Below are 25,506 nucleotides of genomic sequence, written 5' to 3'. Positions count from 1 at the left end.
GCTGGCAAGGAACACTGCCCGGCTGTGAAGCATTTTATAGGATTATAACGGGCTATGCCGAAGGCAAGTTCTGAAAGACACTTTGTGCCGTTTCTTTGAGTGAAGCTGCCTGTTAGAGCAGTGTTGTTCCTAAGCCCGTAAACACACACACAGGCAGAATGGGGAGCTCTGGGCTCCTGGGGCCACTTAGCTTGGCGGCATTGCAGGACTGGACCAGCTTCCCTCAACTGTGACACTAACCTTAGGGATATGCTTGGAGGCCCTCCTGCAGGGGTGCCTGTTTTCTGACAGTCTTTGTTCACGGACACCCCCAGATAGTGTCTCAGGCAGATTGCCTAAAACCCCAATCTGTCAATGGTGGAGCAGTGCATTACATATGGGGAAGGTGCTGAAGTCAGGGACCAAGGTGGAAATTGCATGAGGTCAGAAATACTCCTGAAATAGCTAATCCTGACCTTAACCTATATACTGATGGAAGTTAAAAAAAAATACTCCTGAAAAATTTGTTAAATGCCTCAAGGACCATATACATGGCTTGTATGCACCCCAAATTGCTGGCTTGAGTTTATAGGCTTTGTTGTACCAAAAATATCTGTATTTAAACACCAGAATCCTATTCTGGATGGTGAGACATTCGTGCTATAAGAAGCTTGGAAGAATCAGACCACCCAAGAGAATTCCAGATTCCCATCTTTCCTTTTGTAGCTTATGCTTTTTTATAGCACTATTTAAATTGTTACAGGCCATTAGTAATCTCTCTGCCTCTGTCTGTCTCTCTTTGCCTAGCATGTATAGTGGAAAAGAGGTATGTTTGTCATATATATGTTGTGTAGCCCTGTGTATTTATTGATTTTTATGGCTCCAGTATATTTTAAGGAAAGCAAAGAAATGTTTTAAGAGAAGATGGATACGGCAGCCTTCTCATCAATCAATATGACTGTTCATTGCTCTGCAATAGTTGTGCTTCAACCTAAGTTGCACTTTAACATTTCTTCGGAGGCCAGGCACAGTGGCTTATGCTTGTAATCCTAGCGCTTTGGGAGGCCGAGGTGGGTGGATCACTTGAGCTCAGGAATTCAAGACCAGCCTGAGCAACATGGTGAAACCTCATCTCTACAAAAAATATAAAAATTAGCTGGGCGTGGTGACGTGTGCCTGTAGTCCCAGCTACTTGAGGGGCTGAGGCGGGAGGATTGCTTGAGACCAGGAGGTTGAGGCTGCAGTGAGCCAAGATTGTGCCACTGCACTCCAGCCTGGGCAACAAAGTGAGACCTGTCTCAAAAAAATAAAATAAACATATTTCTTAGGGTTTGTTTACTGTTACACTGGATTTATGGTATGTCAGACTCCCTGCTTGGCCCTAAGGATACTGCAATGAGCAACCCAGTCCCAGGGCTATCAGACGTCGCCAGGGTGACTATTTTCTTCACCAAGTGCTGTAAGTATATTTTCCAACTTGAGAACACGGCCCAGCAAGCTCTTCTGGGAGTCAAAGCCAGTGGCTTTGATGGCAAATGTGTTCTAGTTGAGATAGTGGACTGTGAGGGCCAGAAGAGCAGGCAGAGAAAGAGGAATAAGAAGTGGCTCGGGTACTTGGGCACAGGTTCTTGGTGGCCAGACAAGCCCTGAGTGACGCATGTCACTGCCTCTGGCCCTGCCTTTGGCTGCATAGTTAATCAGGGGCTACTTGGAGATGAGGTTACTCTCACACCCCCACCAAGCTTGGCTAAGCTTTTGGAGCACTTGTGTGAGCTCCCCATCAGCACAGCTCAGGCTAAAAGGATAAAATTGTGTTCAGGAATACAAATAGGAAAAATCAGTGGTTCTGAGGTGCTCTTTCCTGCCCCATACCTCTTCTGAGACAGTTTTCTTCCTATTGCTTCAGGTTATCTATCGAGGGAAAAAAACTCAGGTGCTCTCTTCAATTTCAGTTGGAACCTCCACCCATTCAGGAGCTTCATTTACATGTGTGGTAATAACAGGCTGGTTACACAGGGCCCAATTCTTTCTGCCTCCAAAGGCAGTTTGTCTGCACTAGCTGGGTAGGAAAGTAAGTGGATTTAGTGTGAGGGTGTGGATTTGATACCTGGGATGAAGAGCTATGTATTATGAGGTGTCCTGCCTGAGAAGTAGGAACTGCTGGGTTCTGACCTCAGCTAGAAGCAAAGAGCACGCAAACAGGGACTGGATATCACCATTCCCACTATCCCCTGCATCCCCAGGAAGTAAAAACAAAAGATAGTGTCTCCATAGATCACCACCTGATGTAGTCATGACTTTCCACATGAGGAGGAAAAAGATTCAACAGTACAGTCTACAAAATAACTTTTGAGAGATGATCATTTTAGGGCTGGGCATGGTGGCTTACACCTGTAATCCCAGCACTTTGGGTGGTTGAGGCAGGTGGATTGCTTGAGCTCAGGGGTTGGAGACCAGCCTGGGCAAACATGGCAAAACCCTGTCTCTACAAAAATACAAAAATTAGCTGGGCACACTGGTCCAGGCCTGTAGTCCCAGCTACTTGGGAGGCTGAGGTGGAAAGATCACTTGAGCCCAGGAGGAGAAGGTTGCAGTGAGCCAAGATCATGCCACTACACTCCAGCCTGGGCAACAAAGCAAGACCCTATCTCAAAAAAAAAAAAAAGAAAGAAAATATGATAATTATAATATTTTAAAAAACTATAATTTCCCAAGAAGTGCCATGAATGAAGGTATTTTTCTTTTTTTCTCTTGAGACAGGGTCTCACTCTGTCACCAGGCTAGAGTGCAGTGGTGCAACCATAGCTCACCACAGCCTTGAACTCTTGGGCTCAGGAATCCTCCCACCTCAACCTCGGGATTAGCTGAGACTACAGGCATGCACTACCATACCTGGCTAATTTTTAAATTTTTTTGTAGAGGCAGGGTCTTGCTATGTTGCTTAGGCTGGTCTTGAACTGTTGGCCTCAAGCCACACTGCTGCCTTGGCCTTCCAAAGTGTTGGGATTACAGGTGTGAGCCACTCTACCTAGCCATCTTTTCTTTTTTCTTTTCTTTTCTTTTCTTTTTCCTTTCTTCCTTCCTCTATTTCTTTCTTTTTTTCTTTTCTTTTTTATTTTTTCTCAGGGTCTCTGTCACCCAGGCTGGAGTGCAGTGGTATGATCTTGGCTCACTGCAACTTCTGCCTCCCAGGCTCAAGTGATCCTCCCACCTCAGCCTCTGGAGTAGTTGGGATTACAGGTGTGCACCACCATCCCTGGCTAATTTTTTGTATTTTTTTTGTAGACACAGGGTTTCACTGCTGCCCAGGCTGTATTTTTCTTATAAAAAATTTTAAAACATGAGCTATAAGCTTAAGTCCCTTTTGTTCACTATCTTTAATTCTTTAAACCCAGGTGCCTCCCTTCAGCCACAGGGGAACTGGTAAAAGCTTGCTGTGGATTCTTGTAGACAGTGTTCAATGCTATTTACCCACAAATATGTCTTTATAGAAAATATATGATATTCTTTGGTAAACTTGTATTTTTTTTTAACACAAATGGTATTGTATTATGCTTAGTCTGCAATTATTTTTAAACTGAGTCTAATACATTGGAGATCTTTCCATGCCACACCCATAGACCCATCTCCTTTTTCACTGCTGCTAAGCGGTATTACACAGTGAAGAAAGTTTATTTAAGCACTCCCTATTGATGGATATATTACCATTGTTTCCAGTTATTTTTTATTTTTTACTGCCCCAGACAGGGCTGCTGCAAACAACCTTAAGATCAATCGCCTTCTTGGGCATTTATAATGTCATTGTTTCTCCAAAAAGGATCCAGAAAGGTGTGGTAGTGCCAGGTCATCCATGCACAGCTTTATACTTGAAGGACACTCTGTCAGATTGCCCTCGAGTGTCAGGCAGCCTCTGAATATGCTAGTCAAATTTAAAAGTTGGTGCAAAGTGGGAAAGGTCTCGAGGGAATTTTCCGGGGGTGGTGGAAATGTTTCGTATACCGACTGTGGAGGTGGTTATACGGGTGTTTACATTTGTCAGAACTCAACAAACGGTACTCTTAAAATGGGTGCATTTTGCCATTTGTAGATTATATTCCACTGACATTCATTTAAAAAACCAAACAAAAACAAAACAAAACAAAAAAAACGTGCAGTGGCCTGGGAACAGGGTAAGAGAGAACACCACCCCTTTCTAATGTGGGCTTTTAAAACGCTCGCTTTTCCCCCCAGGCTCCTTCCTGCCTCCAGGTGTCACTACAGCCTCCTTTCTCCCCGTTGCCCGGTTTCGCCCCAGCCTCCTTTCTACCAGCAGCCTTTCACCCGGAGAGTGCCAAAGAGCCCGAAAGGAGCTATCATGGGGTCTGCCTGCCCCGCAATCGCGGCCCACGCTCTGCGGGGGCGCCCGGAGTCGAATACCAGCGGGGAGAGAGAGGTCCCTCTCCACCCGCGGGACCGCCCCACGCCCCTCGCAGCCCCAGGAGGTGTCCGCGCTGCGGCACGTGGGCCCTCCCGGCAGCGTGGGGCGGTGCCGAGCCGGCGGCCCGCCCCCTCCCCACCCATCAAGGCGTGGCTGGCACGGTCCCGCCCACTCGGCTCCGGAGCCCAGTCGAGTCCTGCCCGGCTAGAAGCCGGCTGTCGGTCTCCGTGTCGCCGCCGCCGCCCGGCATCGTGGAGCTGGGGCCCCCTTTTGCCTGGGAGTTTTGTAGTCGCCTAGGGTCAGCGGTGACATCCCAAAGGGCAGGCCCGGCAGCCGCCATGGTGGCCAAGGATTACCCCTTCTACCTCACGGTCAAGAGAGCGAACTGCAGCCTGGAGCTACCCCCGGCCAGCGGTCCGGCCAAGGACGCTGAGGTAGGGCCGCGCCCTGCACCTGGACCTCTATGGGTCATCTGCCTGTCTCGTCTGCCTCCATCTCCCATTCTCGGCGCCCGTCCAGTGTCACTGTCTCTGTTTCCATCTCTCACTCTCCGTGTGTGCCACTTTCTCTCTCTACATCTCTCCCACAGTCTTCTTTGTGTCTCCCCGTCGCCATCTCTCACCCTGTCTCCTTTTCTCTCGCTTTTTCTCTGTGGACCAAGCACTAGCTGCCTCCTCTCTCCCTGTCCCTCTACCTGCCGGTCTGGGAGCAACTGCCTCCTTGCCTTTGCAGGGCTCTCAGACTGTCCATCTTCTGTCTGGACTCTCAGAGGGACTTTCTCCTACTGTCAGCAAGCCCCAGTGTCAGGGAAGTGTCAGCAAGCCCCAGTGTCGCTACCCTTTAAGCGAGTTTTTTTTGCCTGGGTTGTGAGAGCAGAGGGACGTACCAGCCCTCTCACCTGTCAGACTTGGCCTTGCAGCCCTTTGGCAGCAAAAACAGGACACAGCGCCTCTGCCTATCACCTGTGGCCAGTGAGGGTCATTCAGCCGGGGGGCTGGGGCTAAATGAGTAAATTGGAGTGTCTCCCACATGGATCTTGAAAATGAATTAAAGTCCTTAGGGTCAATGGAAAGCTGCCTTGGAACATTGGAAACATTTCTCTTTCTGGGAACTTTCCTGTGCCTTGCGGGCGATGTGAAGGAGTGCTCCCAGGTTATGTTTAGTCTGCCTTTTCCTCTTGCGTGTTATTTCTCTGGCACATAGCTCACTGGCCTTAAAGGTTGGGTTCAGCTGGAGGAGAAAGCATCCCTCTCTTTGAGGGTCTTAGGGAATACAGTCGCTTTCGCTAGATTACAGCTTTGCTGTGGTCAAGCTGCGGTGGAACCCACAGGACCCAGCTAGTCATTGCCGCTCATGCGTGTATCTGGGAGCTTTCCACTCTCCCACACCTCACTCTGCGAACATCAAACATCACCACCACCACTGGGGAAAGGCTGAAGGCAGGTGTGCATCCGGCCTTGTCACAGCATTCTTGAGGTTCCACCCACTCGCCTTCCTTGGGTCTGCTCAGCTGTATGCACTTGGCTCACTGAATCATGTATATTCGGGAGCACACCATCAAAGATTCATTTCCTCTAGCAAGAGCTGCTCCAGGCTGACAGGACTCCAAGCAGTCTCTGGTTGTATTCAGCTTTCTATACGCTGAGCACAAACTAACTTCTCCCTCACTCAAACCCAACCCTACACTCCAGCTCAGTCGAATATTATCACAAAGAGTTTTTGTTGCCAGCAGCTGTGAAAGTGTGATGGCCCTAGTGGCATTTGCATAGAATTCAGGTTGGTCAGGCCTGGAATGGATATAATATTTTTTCAGTGGGAACTTCCTAATTTAATCAACATAGGAGCAGCGCAATTGGTGCCCACTCAAACTCCACTTGTAAGGAAGAAAGGCATAACCAATAAATTAATAAATTGAAGTGGGCCAAAGAAAAGAATAGTGAGGATAGCTGAGGACTCTAACCAGTCCCTTCCTACTATTACTTAGTCCTGTGTTTTTGAGTAGTTTAGCTAAAGGCTTAGGTAAAACTTGCCTGCTTAATTTCATTTTATTCTTATACATAGAATATAGATATGTCTATATATCACAAATATGAAACTTATCACATGTCAAATATTAATTTTCTTCATTGGTAGCTGGATCTAGACTATAAAATATGACTTATTTTCCTCGTATGGGGATATCCTGATGTGAGAAATAAGGAAGGGGTTGGAATAGTTTTGGAAATAGTTGGTAAATATTTTTCAGATATCACTATTGGGGTTTTTGTTTTTTAGTGTTTGATTTAAACACTAAATCAAGTATGCTTTATACACTTTGAGGCAGAGATATCTTTTAGCTTCATCGATGAGCATATCACTTCCTGATAATGGAAATTGGCAAAATTGGAAAAAGAAACCTAAGTGAGTTTAGTGGGTAGTTTTCTGGTTTCCTTATCAGCGCAAAAGGCAGCCAACCCTTGTAGGCCTAGCTTCTCCATAAGCAGTTAACTAAAATATATTTTCCACCAGTAGGTGTCGTCAGTATTCATAAATTAAAAAATAGCATTCGCTTGTCAGCCTTTTGAAAAACATGATTATATAATTGTTTATAAGCTAGGCATTGACTGTTAATTCCTCTGAAAGTATTTTTTTAAGAGTGATTGTTTTCTTTGTGGAAAGAATGTGGTTATAATAAAAAGAAAAATAGATCTATCCAGAGGCCTTTCTAGGAAAACAGGACTTGTTGACCTTCAAAGGCCGTTGCAACAGAGCACCTGTGCCCTTTAAACATTTAATGGCCGTGTGTAATGGCTGTTCCTTCCGAATTTGCCTTGGGTAGGACAGTGCACACAGCATGGCACTGGGAAGTGCCTTCTAGCATTGACTCCTATCCTTGCAGCAAGTGTACTGGGGAAAATCACTTAGGAAAAGGCTCCTGGGGAACAGGCAAGTGGCATTGATGTGCATTTGATACCGTACACTGAGTAAAAAAATATGCAAAAATAAGCATTCTCTTAAAAGCAAATAAAATTTCTACTCAAGATTTAAGTGATTTGTAATTTTTTATTTGTGGTAGTTTCCAGTGAAAGCAAAAAATGATATTTTTAAAATGTATTTTTATTTTCTTTAAAAGATCTATTTTAAGCTTTTGAAAATATTCTACAGGGATTATAATATTGCATGTCTGTTAGTATAATACTGCCTCTTAATCTGCTATTTCTTATGACATGGGGGTTTGAATTGGTTGGCAAATGTTTAATTTTAATATCCATAATCAGTGAGGTCCTGCTGGCTGTAATCATTAATTGTGAAATCTAAGGAGCTTAGTTCATGGCTCTAGAATTTCACAGAAAAATGTGATATGATACGAGCATTAAGTTTATTTCTTCTGATCTTTGATGCAGCTTTGTTCAGTTTATCTGTTTTTGTATTTATTGGTCATCTACTTCCCATGCCAAAAGGGACTGGTCTACATAGCTGCGCTAAACACCTGATCAAATCACTAAAAGAAAATGTGTTACCTCTAATGAATTATCCTGATTGTAAGTTAAAAATCAATATTTCCCCGTAGTGAGGTTTGCTTTTTAAAAAGAAGGCTTAAAAAAAAAAAAAAAAAAAAACGAAGTAAAGAAAAGGAAGCAAGCTCAGGTAAGGTGCACACATTGGCTAAGGAAGCTAGAGCCTTGTGAGAAGCTTTTAAGAGTTTTAGGTCCAGTTCATTTTTAATCAAAATACAAAGAGGTGTTTCTGTTATTTTTGTAAGAATATATCTGACAACTTGGTGGACAACTTACTTTCAGTTTTAAAATTTACCATCTTAGATATTGGTCAGATTAGGCCTGATTTAGTTAATGGTATTTGTAGCCATTGCTTTTGACTCTCAGCAGTTTTAAAAATTTGTAGTGCCATAGACCATAGGCCTATCTCATGAATAGCTGAATACTGCCCTGGGTCTCCAAAGTATAGGTTCTTATTTTGACTTAGCCAGTAGCCTTGCATGACCCTGAGAATAATGACATGCACCTAGAAATGACAGAGCTCTGCTCCTTTTCTATGTCTACCATGTCTAGTGTCTCACTTGAGACCCCACACTTGTAATAAGGTTAACATAAAGCTTGTACTGTTCTCTCCACTTTATGAATAAGGACACTGAGGGGAAGCGATTTGCAGAAAGCTGCAAAGAAAATCAGCAGCTAAGCCAAGATCCAATGTCAAATTTCCTGATGGATTCCGTCCAGCATTTAATATCAGCATCCCTTGTAGCACCTAAGGGTGTTTACCTTTGTGGGATAAAAGGTGGGGTGGTAGTACAAAACTTAACAGACATGCAAAATACTTTAAAATATTATCTTTTAAGTATAACCTTGAGCACCTTACATAACTGAGAAGGTATCCTTTAAGGCCCACTTCTAAAGGGCAAGGTGAACCCTATGCTCCTGCCACGATTTATGCCTCTATCAGTCAACATGTGCATTTTAAAATTGTATGCACCTCGGGCTGTACTTCTTGAATGCCAGCTGAAAAGCCAGAGGGTTACTGGTTTCTAGTAATCTATACATTTCTTGGAATCTGTATCTTATTGTATTGAACAGATAGTATACCTGAACACACATGAAACTAGTCATAAGGAGTTATTGCAGTTAGAATCCTGTAATTTCTTCAGATGATTAAATAGACTCCAGGAATCATATGACCTCAGAGATCTTGCTGGATGGGAAGCCACACGGAGCTACCCAGAAAAAGGCCATCACTTGCTATAGGATCTGGTTATGGTCATTGAGCCATCATTCCGAGGCTGTTCAGTTGGAAAATTATTTTGGGAATCTTGGTCCTTAAGAATGCACATGAACTAGCAACAGAAGAGGAAAATATGTTGACTTTACATGTGTACATTTAATGCTGTTCAAGGGCATTGACTAGAATAAGACTGCCTGAGTCTCAATGCTGTCTCCACCACCTGCTAGTTGATGTGACCTTGGACAAGCTACTGTGCCTCTCCAAACCTGTTTCCTCAATGGTAAAATGGAGATGATGAGAGCTCTAACTCCTAGGACCATAGTGAGGGTCAAACGAGATGTTTCATATACAGCGCTAACCATAGTGCCTAGCATGTCGTAAGTGCTCAAAAAATGTCATTATTATTAAGACCTTTACATTTCAAAAAAAAAGATTCTTAAAATGGTTTTAAGAAACATGATGATCACCAGCCTAATTTCCTGAATGTTGTTTTACACACAGCAGTGCATTAGGGGCTTTACCGTAAGTCCTTTCATCATCACAGTAATCCTATGAGGTTGGTATTAATGCCCTGTTTTGTAGAAGAAGAAACAGGCTCAGAACAGGGTAGTGGCTTTCCCAGGATGGCTTTAATGCTGGGTCAAGGAGATGAGACTAAAATCCCAGTTGACCCTGAAGTCTGTACTTTTCCAACCACATCACATTGCCTCTAAGTGACTAAATCATTGGTCTTCTCACCTCATAACACGTGAAGGATGAACCCACCTGCCCAAAAAATTGCCTGATGCTCAAAGGCCCATTTTTTTCCTGAGTGTCTGGGTAGGAAACCCCACCATTAGTCAATACTTCTGGCAGCCCACTTCATAGAACGGCTGCAACCCACGGGAGTGGGATTTGCAAGCCCCCATTTGGGAGGGTTTTAGTAATTTTCATTTTGTGTTTCTCAAGACCAAGGAGCTGGTCTTTGGCAGAATTCTGCATGCTTAGCTGTGTGGAGGTGCCACCGTCAGTTCTGTTAGTCATTTTGCTTATCTATATTAACCACAAGCCTTCTGTGTAAACCAATCACTGGAAGGCCCAAATACCATCTGGATATTTGCAAATTGTGTCATTTTCTCGAGACACCCTGTGATTGCCCGTAAAAATCCTGGACAGATGCCACCGTTTTCATAACTACTGAAAGAAAATAAATTACTGATCACAACCTAATTTTGCAAAGCCCTGTGTAAATGTAATTGTTATTGATGATGTGTGTATCTGGAAGGGCTACTTTGTCATGTATGTGTGCAGTTGCCTTCCATAATTTGTCAGCCTTGATAATGGGTAGAGGTCACACAAAATGAGGAAATTGCCGTGACTGCGTTGCCATTTATTCTTATGTTGGCTCATGGACTGTCAGGAGTGAAAGCCAGTGGTTTCTATTGCCTTCCTTTTTTTTTTTTTAATTAGTTGACACCAATAACTAGTTTAGAAGAGGCTGTGTCATGCCCAGTGTGGTGGCTCACGCCTGTAGTCCTAGCACTTGGAGGCTGAGGTGGTCGGATCACGAGGTCAGGGGTTCAAGACCAGCCTGACCAACGGTGAAACCCCATCTCTACTAAAAATTCAAAAATTAGCCAGGCGTGGTGGCACACACCTGTAATCCAAGCTACTCAGGAGGGTGAGGCAGGAGAATCACTTGAACCTGGGAGGCAGAGATTGCAGTGAGCCGAGCGCCACTCCAGTCTGAGCAACAGAGCAAGAGTCCATCTTCAAAAAAAAAAAAGAGAGAGAGACTGTGTCACAAGTTAATCAGGAAAGGTTTCCAAACCTTCTACTGGCTGGGAAAGGAGTGGCTCTTTTTAAGTCTAGAAACACTTGTGCCCGGACTTTCTGTTTGGACCATTGTGTCCTTTTGAGAGAAGGTAGCCCTGATTGTTAGTAAATTTCAGTTAATTGAAGCTGAATGAGAAACCTTAACGGTAAGTTCACTAGACTTTTTTCTTCTTTCTGGCTCTTAAGATGAGGAGGAAAGGAGTAGCAAAACAGGCTCTTTTTTTCTGAGGATTTATGAAGCAAACAAATCCAGCCTCCAGGAAATGACCCAGGGTCATTGCATCAGAGAACTTCAGAGTGGGAAAGGCCTGTTGAGAACATGTAGCCCAATTCTTATCTGCTGCCAGATCCATTCAATCTCTGCTTAACACCTCCAGGGACAACATTTCAGGTTGTATACAGTTGGCCCTCTGTATCCACTCGTTCCACATCCACGGATTCAACCAACCATTGGTCAAAAATATTTGGATCCCAGGACTTTGGGAAGCAGAGGCAGCAGGATTGCTTGAGCCCAAGAGTTTGAGACCATTCTGGGCAACACAGCGAGACCCCATCTCTAAAAAAAAAAAAAATCAAAGAATTCACCAAGCGTGGTAACACACACCTGTAGTCCCAGTTACTTGGGAGGCTGAGGTGGGAGAATTGCTGGAGCCAGGGAGTTTGAGGCTGCAATGAGCTGAGATTGTGCCACTGCAACCCTAGCCTGGGTGAAATAGGGAGACCCTGTCTCAGAAAAAAAAAGAAAATATCAGGGAATAAAACAATAAAAAATAACAATACAACAATTTAAATAATACAAATAAAAAACAATACAGGATAACAACGATTATCACTTACATTGTATTGGATATTCTAAGTAATCTACAAATGATTTAAAGTGTAAGAGGATGTGTGTAGGATATAGGCAAACAGTATGCCATTTTATATCATGGACTTGAGCATCCTTAGATTTTGGTATCTGAGAGGGTTCTGGAACCAATCACCCTTGGATACTGAAGGATGACTGTACTCCGTCTGTGTTCAGTATAGATGATGAGAAAATCCTTTCTTAGTTGTAACATTGCTTCCTGCAGCAATGTTCAGTAATACTTTCTTTTTTTTTTTTTTTTTTTTTTTTGAGATAGAGTCTCGCTCTTATTGCCCAGGCTACAGTGCAGTGGTGCGATCTCAGCTTATTGCAACCTCTGCCTCCCGGGTTCAAGCTGTTCTCCTGTCTGAGCCTCCCGAGTAGCTGGGATTACAGGCACACGCCACCACGCCCTGCTAATTTTTGTATTTTTAGTAGAAACAGGGTTTCACCATGTTGGCCAGGCTGGTCTCGAACTCCTGACCTGAGATAATCCACCCCCCTCGGCCTCCCAAAGTGATAGGATTACAGGCGTGAGCCACCATGCCTGGCCCAGTAATACTTTCTTATGTGTTATCCCTGTAAGTATTTGAAAACCACTCTCTCTCTGCACCTCTCCCACTCCACACTCATGTGCATTCTCTCCTCTCCCTCTCTCCCCTCAGATGTTTTCCTTCTCCTGGCCTGGTATTCCTGGTTCCCTTAACTTTTCCAAATGTGACATACTGTCCTATCTCTTTCCTGTCCTTGCTTATTTCTTCTGGACATCTTTAGTGTGCCTGAAAAACTTGAGTATTAATAAGTGCAAGGATACTGTATGATACTATGTCAACAAACAGGATTTCTTTTAGGCTTAATATGCTTCTTTAGACAAGAGAAGTACACTAATATATTGAAAAAGATTTTTGAAATAAAAATGACAGACTAAAGATTAACATCTTTGTCATATAAATAATTTATACAGATATTTAAAAAATACCCTAAGATATTCATTGACAAATAAGCCAAAGATACTAGAAGGTAGTTCATACACAAGGAACAGTAAAGATTTAAAATGTTCACTCTAGTAGGAATTATAGAAATGAAAAAGGCAATAATAAGGTGCTATTTTATACCTAACTGATGTTGCAACTATTTTTAAGACATAATAAAACCAAGCTGGGCATGGTGACTCACACCTGTAATCCCAGCACTTTGGGAAGCCGAGGCGGGCGGATCACCTGAGCTTAGGAGTTCAAGACCAGCCTGGCCAACATGGTAAAACCCAGTCTCTACTAAAAATACAAAAATTGCTGGGCACGGTGGCTCACGCCTGTAATCCCAGCACTTTGGGCAGCCGAGGCGAGCGGATCATGAGGTCAGGAGATCGAGACCATCCTGGCTAACGCGGTGAAACCCCGTTTCTACTAAAAATACAAAAAATTAGCCGGGCGCGGTGGCGGGCACCTGTAGCCCCAGCTACTCGGGAGGCTGAGGCAGGAGAATGGCGTGAACCCGGGAGGCGGAGCTTGCAGTGAGCCGAGATTGCGCCACTGCACTCCAGCCTGGGCGACAGAGCAAGACTCCATCTCAAAAAAAAAAAAAAAAATTATCTGGGCCTGGTGGCGGGAGCCTGTAATCCCAGCTACTTGGGAGACTGAGGCAGGAGAATTGCTTGAACTCGGGAGGCGGAGGTAGCAGTGAGCTGAGATCGCACTACTGCACTGCCGCCTGGGCAACAGAGTGCAACTCTGTCTCAAAAAAATAAAAATAAAAAAAAAAAAAAACCCAATGCCGTGAATGTTGCAGGAAAATAATACACTTATTGGTGGGGCACAGTGTCTCATGCCTGTAATCATAGCACTTTGGGAGGCTGAGGCAGGCAGATTGCTTGAGCCCAGGAGTTTGGGACCAGCCTGCGCAACATAGCAAGACCTTGTCTCTATTTAAAAAAAAAAAATAAGAAAAAGAAAATAACACACTTTCTGTGCATACTAAAAGACAAAAATTGTTCAGATCTTTGGGCGTAGTATTCTAGCTCTAGTGGAGAAAAGGCTGTGTTTCCAAAGTTGTTCATAATGACATTATTTGCAATAATAGCCATGCTTTGTATTCGTGCATTTTACAGTTTTAGGCACTTTCATATTCTTTGACTTACTTGAGTATATAATTGTCCTCATTTTAAAGACGAGATACCAAGGGTCAGAGAGGTCCAATGATTTGCCCAAGATCACACAGCTGGGAATGGCCTAGCTGGAGCTTGAAGTCTGATGGTTTGGTTCCAGTCTAGCATCCTTTCCTATTTAACTGGCCAGAAAAGCCAACAACCTCTCTGTCCTACAATAGAGCAATAGCTCCATGACCATGGCCTCTGGCACAGGGGTCAGTGACATCATTTGCAGCCATTACTCACTAGCAAACAGAAATACCCTAGTGTTCCTGGAACAAATAAAGAGGAAAAAAAGTTGAGCATGATTATATACTCATTATAACCAATTTAAACCTATATGTGTGCATATGGGATGTAGAGAAGAGGGGACAGGCATGTTGCAATCAAGACACCTTCCTCCTTTTTCATTGTGCTCAATAAATCTAGAGCAATGCCACCCTTTGTTCAGATAGTAGTCAGTTATTTTCTTTTCTTTTCTTTTCTTTTCTTTTCTTTTTTTTTTTTTTGAGACAGAGTCTCACTCTTGTCCAGTCTGGAGTGCAGCAGCAAGATCTTGGCTCACTGCAACCTCTGCCTCCTGGGTTCAAGCGATTCTCCTGCCTCAGCCTCCCAAGTAGCTGGGATTACAGGCGTGAGCCACCGCACCCAGCCAGCAGTCACTTATTTTCACATGCATTATCTCCTTTGAGCCTTGCATTAGCTGAGGGAGCTGGACAAGGCAAGGACTGTCCTTTTTTTTTTTTAATTTTGCTATTTTGTTTGTTTTTAGGTTTTCTTTTTTTAGTTTTTCATTTTTTCTTCATTTTTCTTTTTTTCTGAAGCTGTCCTTTTTGTTTGTCAACTGAGGAAAAAGAGATTCAGAGAAATTAGGAGGCAGGGCCCAAATGTTGGTCCCTCCTTGCCCAGCCTTGACCTCTTGGCGTGCCACAATGTTGGCTTAAGCCAGTCATGGTTCTGGGTAGGTGATAAGCAGCACTGTCTCTCTGGGGGTGTTCTAAGTGAACCCCGTTAAAGTTAGCCAGAACACTGTGCAGAGTAATCTCCAACTGCAAGGCCCTACTTTAAATTTGATGTGAGATCACTGTTAAAACGAAAAGCCCACAAGGAATGGATAGATAAAAACTTCTGTATACATAGGTGATGTATTTCGTTTGTTGGTTTGTGTTAGAAATAGGGTCTTGTTCTGTTGCCTAGGCTGGAGTGCAGTGGCACAATCATGGCTCACTGCAGCCTTAACCTCTCAGGTTCAAGCGATCCTCCCACCCACCTCAGCCTCCAGAGTAGCTACAGCTGTAGTCCTAGGACTACAGCTAGGACTACAGGCGTGTGCCACCATGCCTGGCTAATTTTCTTTCAATTGTTTTATTTTTCTAGAGTCAGGGTCTCATTATGTTGCCCAGACTGGTCTCGAACTCCGGGGTTCAAGTAATCCTCCCACCTCGGCCTCCCAAGGTGCTGGGATTACAGGCATAAGCCACCACTTCTGGCCACGACATATCTTAAAATGATGTCTTTCTGAACTCTGCAGACCTAATGTTTGCAGCAGAGGTGATAAATAGTAAGAAGAAATACAGCATTTCCTGAGGGCACTCTTTCTGTAGATACCATTAGCATTAGAAGTTGGCAACCTGATTGAATTAAATAAAGCTGACAGCCTATGTCAGAACCTTGAAAAAAAAATGTGAAAAGGAAAAAAGAAAGGTGAATGTTTTGGACTTGCCATGGGCTGTCAGATTTGGAAATGTGGAGTCTTCCTAGAGGAAGACGCTACAGAAAGAAAAAGGGAACAAGCTAGTGGCAGAAAGAGATGGAGTTGGGCCAGATGGCCGAGGGGGGCAAAATGGTAAGTCTTCCCTGTGGGTGCTTTCTGAACCCAAGGCCAGGGCAAGCTCCCATTTCAAGTGTGCTATCTTATGTTGGCATACTAACATTTCATAATCGCAAGTCACGCAGGCATTTCAAGAACGACCCCAGGCAAATACAGAGAAGATAACTAAAGGTCACTGGGGAAGACTATTTTTAATTTTTGACTTCACACAGGTTGGGGAGGGGTGGAAGTGGCTCATCAATATCATGTTAGGTTTTGGCAGTCTTGGTTCATTTTCTCAGCCATCCTGGTGATTGTGTTGGGGATGTCTGGGTGTGATCTTGCAGAAGGAGTCAGAAACCACTGTAAAGAAGGAAATAAGCTGTTAGAAGAGGGAAAACTGATGGTTTCTTGTGTGTAAGCCACAGATGCATGATGAACTGTCACCTCCACCTCCTTCCTCCTCAGATGTTTGGTGGTGACTTATCTGAGAGCTTTGAAGGAGAGAGCATCAGAAAAGACATGTTGCATTCTCTTATTAGTCTCTGAATGCTTTATGCCCAGGTTCCAAAGGCCTAGAAGAGTGAGCTTGATTCTGGCACCAACATCGAGGAACAGGAGCTTGCTTCGGAAGTCTCTTAAATGCAGCATTTATTTCTAAGCTGGTTCTTATAAGAGCTTCCCAAGTAGCTGGGGACAGGGCAAAGGTAGGCTTAGCTTCTTGGAATTTCAGAGTCTGTTTCTGGAATGAGAGGACTGGATTAGTTCATTGTTTCCCAGAAGGTGGGTTTCATACCACTTGGGCAGCTCAAATCTTATAAAGACAAATCACAAAATAATTTAATCACTTTCCCTTTTAAATTATCTGATCCTTCTGATTATTTCAAGTTTCCACTTGGAATTAGTGTGTCTTTAACACCTCCCCATCACTTGATAATTTCCCTGTGTAACTAAGTGTAGGCCTCAGGGTTCATTTTTTAAAGTTAGTTTCTGTTTATGGCAGGTGATAGTGATTTTCCATTTAAGGCAGTGATAGAGTTTATTTTTACAATAAGTTTTTAAGTAAAAAATGACTAATTAAGGAAATAGTACATAATAGCTCAGGTGATATGTACATATGGCAAAAAATTATCATGGCAATACAGAGAGTTTGGAAACAGTGAACAAGGCATGTTCTGAGGGGCTTTCTAGGATTAGAATTCTACAATAAGTTCCCAAGTTTGACACAGTCACTTGCAAACTAAACTTGAAATTTGGACATTTAGCATAGGACCCAAATTTCAGATACTAAGTAGATAAAAATTGGCTTTAATGTGTTATAGGAAATGAATCTGTGCTACGTTAGCCAACTTAAAAAATAAAAGTAGATTTCTGTTCTCAGAACATAAATCTTTTTCTTTTCAAAGCGTCAAAGAACATGCCAAAGTGCCAGCTAAAATGATTCAAACCATCCTGTTCCTTTTTTCCTTCACTCTGGTGGGAAGGATTGGGTGAGATTACACTTTAATTGGAGTCAGCCCTAGAATGTACTGGTTAAGAATTTGGATTTGGAAGTCAGCCTGAACTGAGTTTGAATCCGCACTTGGCCACCTGTGAGCTGAGAGATCTTGGACTTGTGTCTCATCCTCTAAGCCCTAGTTTCCTCATCTGAAAATTGGGAATTTGCAAGGGAATTGTGAAGATGAAATAGGCATATAAAGGGCTTCCACCAAACAAGTACTTAATAGGTCATTAGCAGCAGCAGCAGCAGCAGCAGCAGCAGCAGCAGCAGCAGCAGCAGCATCTATCTTGAACGTAGATCAGTTGAGTAGAAGCTATAGGTGGTTATACTTAGCAAGGCATCTGCTAGGAGGTAGCTCCTTCCTTTGTAGGAAATAAAGAGATCAGAGTTAGCATTGGGCATTATTATTTTTAAAACAAAAGATGTTCCAAGCATACTGGCAAGCTTCACATTCATTTCTGCCAGGTAGAATAACAAAAAAATCTAGTGTGGCTTTCTGGTTGTTCCCAGAATGACTTTCAGACAGGGGTTGGTGTGTGAGCTCTGGGTAGAGAGGCACCCTGGCCAGAGGAGTAGGGAGCAAGTTGTCCTGAGGCCGGCTCCCACCTGACATGCATCATCTGAGAATCCTAGCCAAGTGCCAACCACGGACACAGACCCAAGGCAAGCAGATGAGGGTGGATTAGGTTGCTTTGAGCTCTTCATGCCCTATTCATTTGCAGGGTGCTTTAACTATAAATAGATCCTTTGTTGGAAATGTAGGGAAACTCCATAGTGTGATGGATATGAGCTGGTAAAGAGCTAGACAACTAAAAAATGACCCCTAATGCTCTTTAATTGTCCATAAATATTTATTGAGACCTGGCTCTGTGTATCATGTTCCCCCTGGTTTAGAAAAGCCATGCTTTCTGTCCTCAAGGAACTTCTACTTCAGTTTGACCAAGTCATTAACAACACGACAATACGGGTAGTGACTGTCAACCACGAGGAGGGGGAGAAGCAGGCAATTTCATTGGGGAGCTTGGCAGACTATGGAGGGGGAATACTGAGAAGTGGTCATCCAATAGGCTCCCTGATGCTGGATGCCCGCCACCCCCCAGTCCTCAAGTGTGCCCTTAGCAGAGGGCAGCATCTTCTGGGGGCACATAAGCGGGACACCTTTGAACCTGGGCTCACTAAGATTCTGAGGGAGGAGTCAAGAGGAGCTGCTGATTCCAGAGTGATAGGGCTTGAATGCCAAATGAACATTCTGTCCTCCTCCACACCCTGCGTCAGTGTCTACTTCCTTTCTGCCTCTACAGCCTATTCGTTTCAGGGTTCCTCCCTGGTTTAGGAAACTAACAATGCTGTGGTTAATTAAGAACCCAGGCCTTGCTGAGTTAATAGCCTTGGGCTCAATTTGGACTGTGTGACTTCAGGCGAGGCCCTTAACGCCTCTGAGTCTCAGTTGCCTACACTGTGAAATGGGTATATTAATAGCACTAACTTAAGAGAAGTCAAGGAAATAATGCACAGAAAGCACTTTGGCACAGCCTAGCACAAAGTCCTCCTGTATATTGCTATTATATTATTATTATTATTATCAGAGGAAGTTGTATATCCTGGGAAGCCAGTGTCGGGGTGGCGGGGAAAGTTTTCAAGGCAGGTAGATTTGAATTCAGATTTCACCACTGCCAGTTAATTACTGGGTATGACTTGGAGGAAGTCATCTCACTTCTCTGAACACCTGCTTCCTCCTCTATGAAACAGGATAACGGGGTTGCTGTATGGCATAGATGAGAGCGTTTGTGACTCCATGGCTCTCAGTGCCTCCTTTCCTTTCCTAGGCTTCCCTCATTGTTTATATAGTGCTTCAGAGTCACAAGAGTCACACCTGCGTCAGGTGTAGTAGGATGACTGCTCTGTTTCTAGAAAATTGCTAGAGTCTATGAGTAGGCAAGTGCCTTGGCAGGGTATAATTTATTTAATCGCAATTGATCGAAGCTTTGCAGGGTCAAGTGGCCCTCTGCACAGTCCTGCTTTGCAAACTCAGGGGCGCCCCTCGCTTGACTCTCAAATGTTGGGGCAGAGGGAAGGAGGGCCTGGCATGTAAAAGAAGAACCTTCCACTTCATCCTTGTGCCCTTCCCAACCTGGCAGTGCTTGGGAAACCTTTACCAAGGAAATTATTTTGCCAATTTAGACTCCCAGCAGTCTTCAAAGGAATCCTCCCCTCTGTAGATGGCCCATATTGGAAAACACTTGAGAACCTTGCTGCTCTCTGCTGCAGGCATCCTTTGCCTCAGGAATAAATACCATTTTTATTTTACCACCAGAATGTCCTTGTCTTTTCTGGAAACTTTTATTGACATCCCTTACCACTGACTCTACAATGGCTAGCCAACTTTTTTTTTTTTTTTAACAAAACCCAACAACCAAATCACAGGTTTGTATTTATTCTTTCATTTTAAGTCAGTTGCCACTGTCTACCCATTTTCCCCATTATCTCTTTGGAATTGAAACTAGCTGAGAGTGATGCTGGGAGCAGAGCTGAGTCTCTGAGCTCCTTGCCTTCTTTGTTGTGTGCTGCATCATTTTTTTATATTCACAGGCTTCTGCATTTTAATAAACTGTAGATAATGATACATCTGGTTGCATATTAATTGCTGAGAGTTCAAAATAACACGTAATCACTATGTTTCAAGGTTGCAGATGTACAGCACTGAGAGCCAGTGTTTGTTATGAACCTTTGGAAAAATCCGTTGTTACTGGGTATTTTTAAATTCTTGTCATTAAAAATGCACTACAGGATGGAAAGTGTCTCAACAAATGAAATCAGTTTTGTGTTGTGCACACATGCACATACACCCCTCCCAAAGAATAACATTTTGAAGCTATTCATCTGCTCATTTGGGGGGTGTGGGGGCAACAGAAATGCCAGATGAATCCATTATAGATTACTTACCTCACAGTTTCCTGAACAGCATGCTTTGTATCTTATTTATCTGCATACCCTTGCTCAGTGAGTGGTAAGATGTCAGCTGAAAGCCAAAAACAGGAAAGTTTAAGATTTTTAAAAATTTATTTCCAATTTAATCAATCCCATGTGGTTGTTTGACTAGTAGCTTTTTCCATTCTGAATAATCAGATTTCAATGTATTCTGTTTTCGGCTGGGAGCAGAGTGCTCTAAAACACCCGGGTGCTGTGTCCCCTGGTTCTAAGTGTGGACATGTGCTCCTGAGGACACACATGGACCAAACATTTGAAGGGATAATTTGTGCTAGAAGGGACAGCTGGGAGTTAACCAGGGAGCATCTTGAACATATTTTGTGTTTCTTTCTGGAGGTCACATCTCTGCAAGGCCTGTCTGCTCAAAACCGTTGTTCTTGTCAAAAACGGAAACCAACTAGACATCAAGAGAAGGGGATCCATTTTCTTCTGCAGACCCAGTGCCCTTGGTCAGACGTCCCTGTAGTTTTTACCCAGCAACCAGTTAGGATCCCTGGTCCCTGTCTAGTTTTCAGTCGGATGACAGACCTGACTGTCAGCTTTGCTTGCCTGAGATGTGTTTGATCATCCCAGATTCAGCTGGAACAGTCTGTCCTTCCTTTGGGACACTGAGATTAAGATCTGAGCACCCTTTTTCATCTCCCTACTTCTTTTTCCTCTTCTGGGAAGCAAGATAATGCTGAGCTTCAAAGAACGACAGATGGATGAGAAAGAGAGAGGACTTTTCTGTGGTTCTGTGTGGTCCTTTCTTGGTTACACATTATTTTTGTGAAGTTTCACCTTGCACATCCGACATGGGTTGAATGACCAGAGTTCCTCTCATTGCCTAATTCCAGACAGTATTGGGATCTGGCAAGACTGGAGACCAGCTCTTCTAGCCCATAATTCAGCAGTGTTGGTGGCAGTGGGCGGGTGGGAGGATAATGCAAACCTCAAGACCCATCTATAAGGACCCAAGATTAGGACTTGGGTCCTTATCTTGAGATTTTACTGCTTTCCTTTCTTCCAATATAGCCTTGAATCCTGCCAGACCACCGCTAGTTTTGCCGTATCCAGCCAGAGCTTGACTAAACAGATGATAAAACCACAGGAAGAAAAGGAAGGCAGGAATATGGCATCAAAATACATGGTCTCGTAGCAGCCTCAGTGGCCAGAGCAGTTATTGGTATGATTCTGGCAGGTGACGTGGAACTCTAGCTTTGTCCCTGGAAGGATCAAGGCAAAATCCAGTGCTGCAGGGAATAGAAGAGGGCAGGGGCGCAGGCTGGCAGAGAGACCATGCCTCTCCCAGGACAACAGAAATAAGGACAATACTCTGATATTTACTGAGGACTAACAGGCGGGTGTCTGCCAAGCATATTATACACCTAGTCTCCTGTGATCCTCCCAACAACTCTGTGAGAAGGTAGGAGAGTCATCTTCACTTCACAGTAGAGGAAACTAGCTTATAGAGGTTATATTTTGGGCCCAAGGTCGTAGGGTATTGCACTCTGACCAGACAGGTTGGCTCATATTTTATCCTTAGATCCTTTGCAAAGAATCAATGCACTCTTTGGGCCAGAGTGATAAGAACTTTGTCACTTGCTGCAGAGGCATTCAGATTATTCCTAAGCTCTGAGAGAGCCCAGAAAATGTCCTTAAAGAAGCAGGAATGGAACTCCAGTGGCATCCTTTTCCTCCTTCTCCAACCCCACCCAAGGGGAAGCGAGGGAATCCCTTTTACAGTGATAAACAAATGCAGAACATATATTCCACCCAAAGGTTTCCAAGAAGTCAGTAGGAAATGACTGACTCCGGAACCCCAAAGTCACAGAGACTGTCCTCTGGACCCCGTGGCTGTGACCAGGAGATCTTTTCTACCTCTGGGTGCCTCGTTGTGTGACCAGGAGACCTTTTCTACCTCTGGGTGCCTTGTTGGCATCATCCAACCAGGGATGTCCAGCCCCATTTTCCAGACCGGCGGATGGGTGTGGCATTATAGGCACGTTATTTCTGTGGCATTCTTGCCAAAAATGCATAACCTGATGTGAGAAAACATCCTCCGGGCCCATGGCTGGCCTTCCCATAAGGGCCACAGAGACTTGATGCTGCTGGCAACTCTCCTAATTTTTAAGGAGGTTGAACTCTTTAAAGTTCTCCAGCTCTGAGCATCTGGCCCTTTCTGCCTCAGAAGGCAGATGTGGAGCCAGGGACCGCAGAGAGAGCTAAATATTTGGCTTCCTCTTTCTCTGAAGGTCTGTAGCATCATGTCTGGGCATGACCAAGATGAGTTTCAGGCAGTGGGGGCTGGTGTTTGCTAAAAGGAACTTAACAGGGGTGTGGGTGTGCAGTTCTCCCTCTGCCCAAGGTTAAGTAATAGTAACATCCTGTGTAAAGAGAATTGAATGTGGTTTTCTGCTAAACTTCAATGTTTTAGGGCTGTTTATTAGATGTGTTTAATCTTGGGCCAATTTAACCAGTAGCAGACTAATAAAATAACAGATTTGGGCTTGCTGCCAGGACAAATGTTGACTTACCCTTATAATGTTGACTAAAACGAGTAACTTTGAAAGTTATTGCAGAGTGAAACCTTAGCCAGAAATACAGCGTCTGAAACAGTGGTTTTGTTTTATTTTACTGGCTCTGCTTAGAGATTATGTTTGTAACCTAGGCTGCTGCCTGCTTCACCTCTCAGAGTCCTGTATTTTACTGAATTATTTCCCAAGGCTCTTTTTTTCAGCCCATAAACCTTCACTCAGCAAAAATGAATTTCCCCATGGCAGGCAAGTAGGAGAGGTTACTTTTCCAATGTGGGGGCAAAAACTCAGTGGTACCAAGAAGAATGAAGGTAATGACTTGCTTGAGTCTTCTCTCAGAAACAAAATGGTATGCCATGAACATTCACCCTCTCCAAATTTGTAGTAAAATTAATTGCTTCTCCCGGGTGTACCGGAAGAAATCCATCTCGCTTGCCGCCTACCCCCACCTTTCCTTCATTTTGCCATGCAGTTTATTACAAACACTAGAGAGCTATAGTATTTTGCTACCATGTGTTTTGGACTTGAAGGAAACAGGGGAGGCCAGGAGGAAATGAAGCTAGGAGGACTACAGAAATTGTCATAAAGTGTGATTTCTTTCTACCCCTGTTTTTTTAATTTGTGTTTTATAGGAAGCTGGTTTGGGCAGGGCCTCTGAGCATGGTTTCAGAGGCTCCTGCCAGCATTGTGTGAGCTCAGCCAACTGCCAACTGTCCTCCTTATACCTCTCCCTTATTCAAGGCTCCCCCGAAAGCAACCACCTCACAGGGAGACTTTGGCCAAGAAGCCATAGGTGCTGAATCTGCTTTTGGTGCTGACTGGCTCAGGCAGACAGAGCTTGATATACAGAGAATAAACGTCATCCCTCTAACATTAATATGTTCAGTTTTATGTACCTGAGAGTTGATGGTTTAATTTGTGGGTTTGCCCAGACTCTCTTGCGACTTCTCTCATCATCTGCTCTTTAGCACTTCCATGAGACGGGGCAAGAGATTGTTGGAGTCTCAATCCAGCAGCCCGAAAGCCTGTCTGCAGCTTGGGTTTGAGACTGAACTAACTCAGGGTGTTTTGTGGATTTTAGTTATCCAGGCTGTCCCTGTTCCCTCATTAACAAAAACAAAACAAACCCCAGCTTTTTTTTTTTTTTTAAGAAGGAAATTGGGATCTTTTCCTCATAGCACCTTATCTTAATATGGAGGAAAGAGTTGAGCCATTTTATCAAAAAGGAAATCAAATCCCCCTTGGATGCCTAATGTGAGGCAACTGGCAACCAAACTCACGGCCGGAGAAAACAAACACAAGAATGTGGCTTCCATGTTTGAGATTAGCCAAGACAAAGATAGCAGGGATGCCTCCCGGAACAGTTCCTGGTGGTTTGTCAAAGTCCACAAAGCTTGCAGTCCCTTTGTTGAAATCACTGATAAGCATACAAGAGGAAAATTATAGTTCTGAGTTTGAAGACCTTTTCTCACCTTGGGGGTTAAAAACCAATAATTCTGAAACACATTTGGCCTAATCAATGAAGTCAGGTTTCCGTTGGGATTTGGGCCTCATTATTTGTCTTTCATCTTCTGGGAACAGATGACACCAGGTCAGTTAGCTCTGTGCCAGGGGAAAAAAAGAACAGAAAAAATATTTCAATGGAAATTTTAGAATTAGGAACAATTATTTCATTATTATTATCTTTTTCTATTTCCAAAAAAATAAGATGAAGAGTCATTTGCAAGCTCCAAGGCAGCTCCCCTTTCTGTACCCACAGTCTTACTCCTCCTTTGCTCAGGCAGCTCTATGAAGGCCTCCTCAGTGCTGCATATGTGCCCTACGTTCCTGTGTTGTCCACCGCACCATGCCCTGCCTTCCAGCCACCCCACCTGCTCCTTCCTTGCCAGCTCCACCTGACACTGACTCTCTTGACTCTTTGTGGCTCAACCTTCTGATTCTCCCTATTCAGCTGGGAGACATTCCCCACAACAGTGACACCTGTATACTTCAATTAAGGCCACTTTGCACATACTGAGTAAACACTCCCTAAATTGGGCTAAGAAGAATGCACAAAGTCACAAAGTCCTCCAAACTATGTGTTAGTTACAAAGAGAATAATATTAACTTTACAGTGGAGAAATCCAGCAGACACCACCTGTGTTAGTTTCTTATGACTGCTATAACAAAGTACCATAAGCTAGGTGGCTTAAAACAACAAAAAATGTTTGTCTTATTCTGGAGGCTAAGTCTGAAATGAAAATGTCAGCAGAGGCCGGGTGTGGTGGCTCACACCTGTAATCCCAGCACTTTGGCAGGCCAAGGCAGGTGGATCACCTGAGGTCAGGAGTTGAGACCAGCCTGGCCAACATGGTGAAACCCTGTCTTTACTAAAAATACAAAAATTAGCCGGGTATGGTGGTGTACTCCTGTAGTCCCAGCTACTCGGGAGGCTGAGGCAGGAGAATCGCTTGAACCCAGAGGTGGAGGTTGCGGTGAGCTGAGATTGTGCCACTGCACTCTAGTCCCAGTGACAGAACGAGACTCTGTCTCAAAAAAAGAAAAAAAAAAAAAAGACAAAAGAAAATGTCAGCAGAGCCATGCTCCCTCTGAAACCTGCAGAGGAATCCTTTCTTCTTCCAAGTTCCTGGTGTTTGCTGGCAATCCTTCATGTTCTTTGGCTTGTAGATACATCACTCCAGTCTCCACCTCTCTCTTGTCACATGGCCATCTTCTCCATGTGTGTCTCTAAATTTCCCTCTTCTTATAAGGACACCAGTGATTAGATTTAG

The 25,506-nt window shown here is 43.9% G+C and overlaps 1 protein-coding gene across 19 annotated transcripts in view, besides 3 other annotated features; it reads left to right on the top strand.

Moving 5' to 3' along the window:
- The window catches only part of ARHGEF3 (Rho guanine nucleotide exchange factor 3), a 351,849-nt gene that overhangs the window by 272,736 nt on the left and 53,607 nt on the right, over window positions 1–25,506 (top strand). For 3 of the 19 annotated variants that reach the window (NM_001377414.1, NM_019555.3, NM_001377415.1), the window contains exon 1: window positions 4,584–4,830. The exons of the other annotated variants lie outside the window; for them this stretch is intronic. In NM_001377414.1, coding sequence (NP_001364343.1) covers window positions 4,735–4,830 — 96 coding nt within the window. In that variant the 5' untranslated portion in view covers window positions 4,584–4,734. Of the gene's footprint in view, window positions 1–4,583; window positions 4,831–25,506 lie in introns of those variants that run through there. 19 annotated transcript variants of the gene reach the window in all.
- Window positions 4,415–4,584: a silencer, noted in NCBI's record as "silent region_14472". NCBI's record gives its function as "represses an Ori minimal core promoter by ATAC-STARR-seq in GM12878 lymphoblastoid cells {active_cell/tissue: GM12878}" and the evidence as "EXISTENCE:reporter gene assay evidence [ECO:0000049][PMID:35858748]".
- Window positions 6,949–6,998: an enhancer, noted in NCBI's record as "active region_19983". NCBI's record gives its function as "activates an Ori minimal core promoter by ATAC-STARR-seq in GM12878 lymphoblastoid cells {active_cell/tissue: GM12878}" and the evidence as "EXISTENCE:reporter gene assay evidence [ECO:0000049][PMID:35858748]".
- Window positions 22,330–22,729: an enhancer, noted in NCBI's record as "active region_19982". NCBI's record gives its function as "activates an Ori minimal core promoter by ATAC-STARR-seq in GM12878 lymphoblastoid cells {active_cell/tissue: GM12878}" and the evidence as "EXISTENCE:reporter gene assay evidence [ECO:0000049][PMID:35858748]".

The sequence above is a fragment of the Homo sapiens genome, chromosome 3 (assembly GCF_000001405.40).
Source record: "Homo sapiens chromosome 3, GRCh38.p14 Primary Assembly".
NCBI lineage: Eukaryota > Metazoa > Chordata > Mammalia > Primates > Hominidae > Homo > Homo sapiens.
The sequence above is the reverse complement of the archived record's forward strand: the minus strand, read 5'-3'. Positions and strand labels throughout refer to the sequence as shown.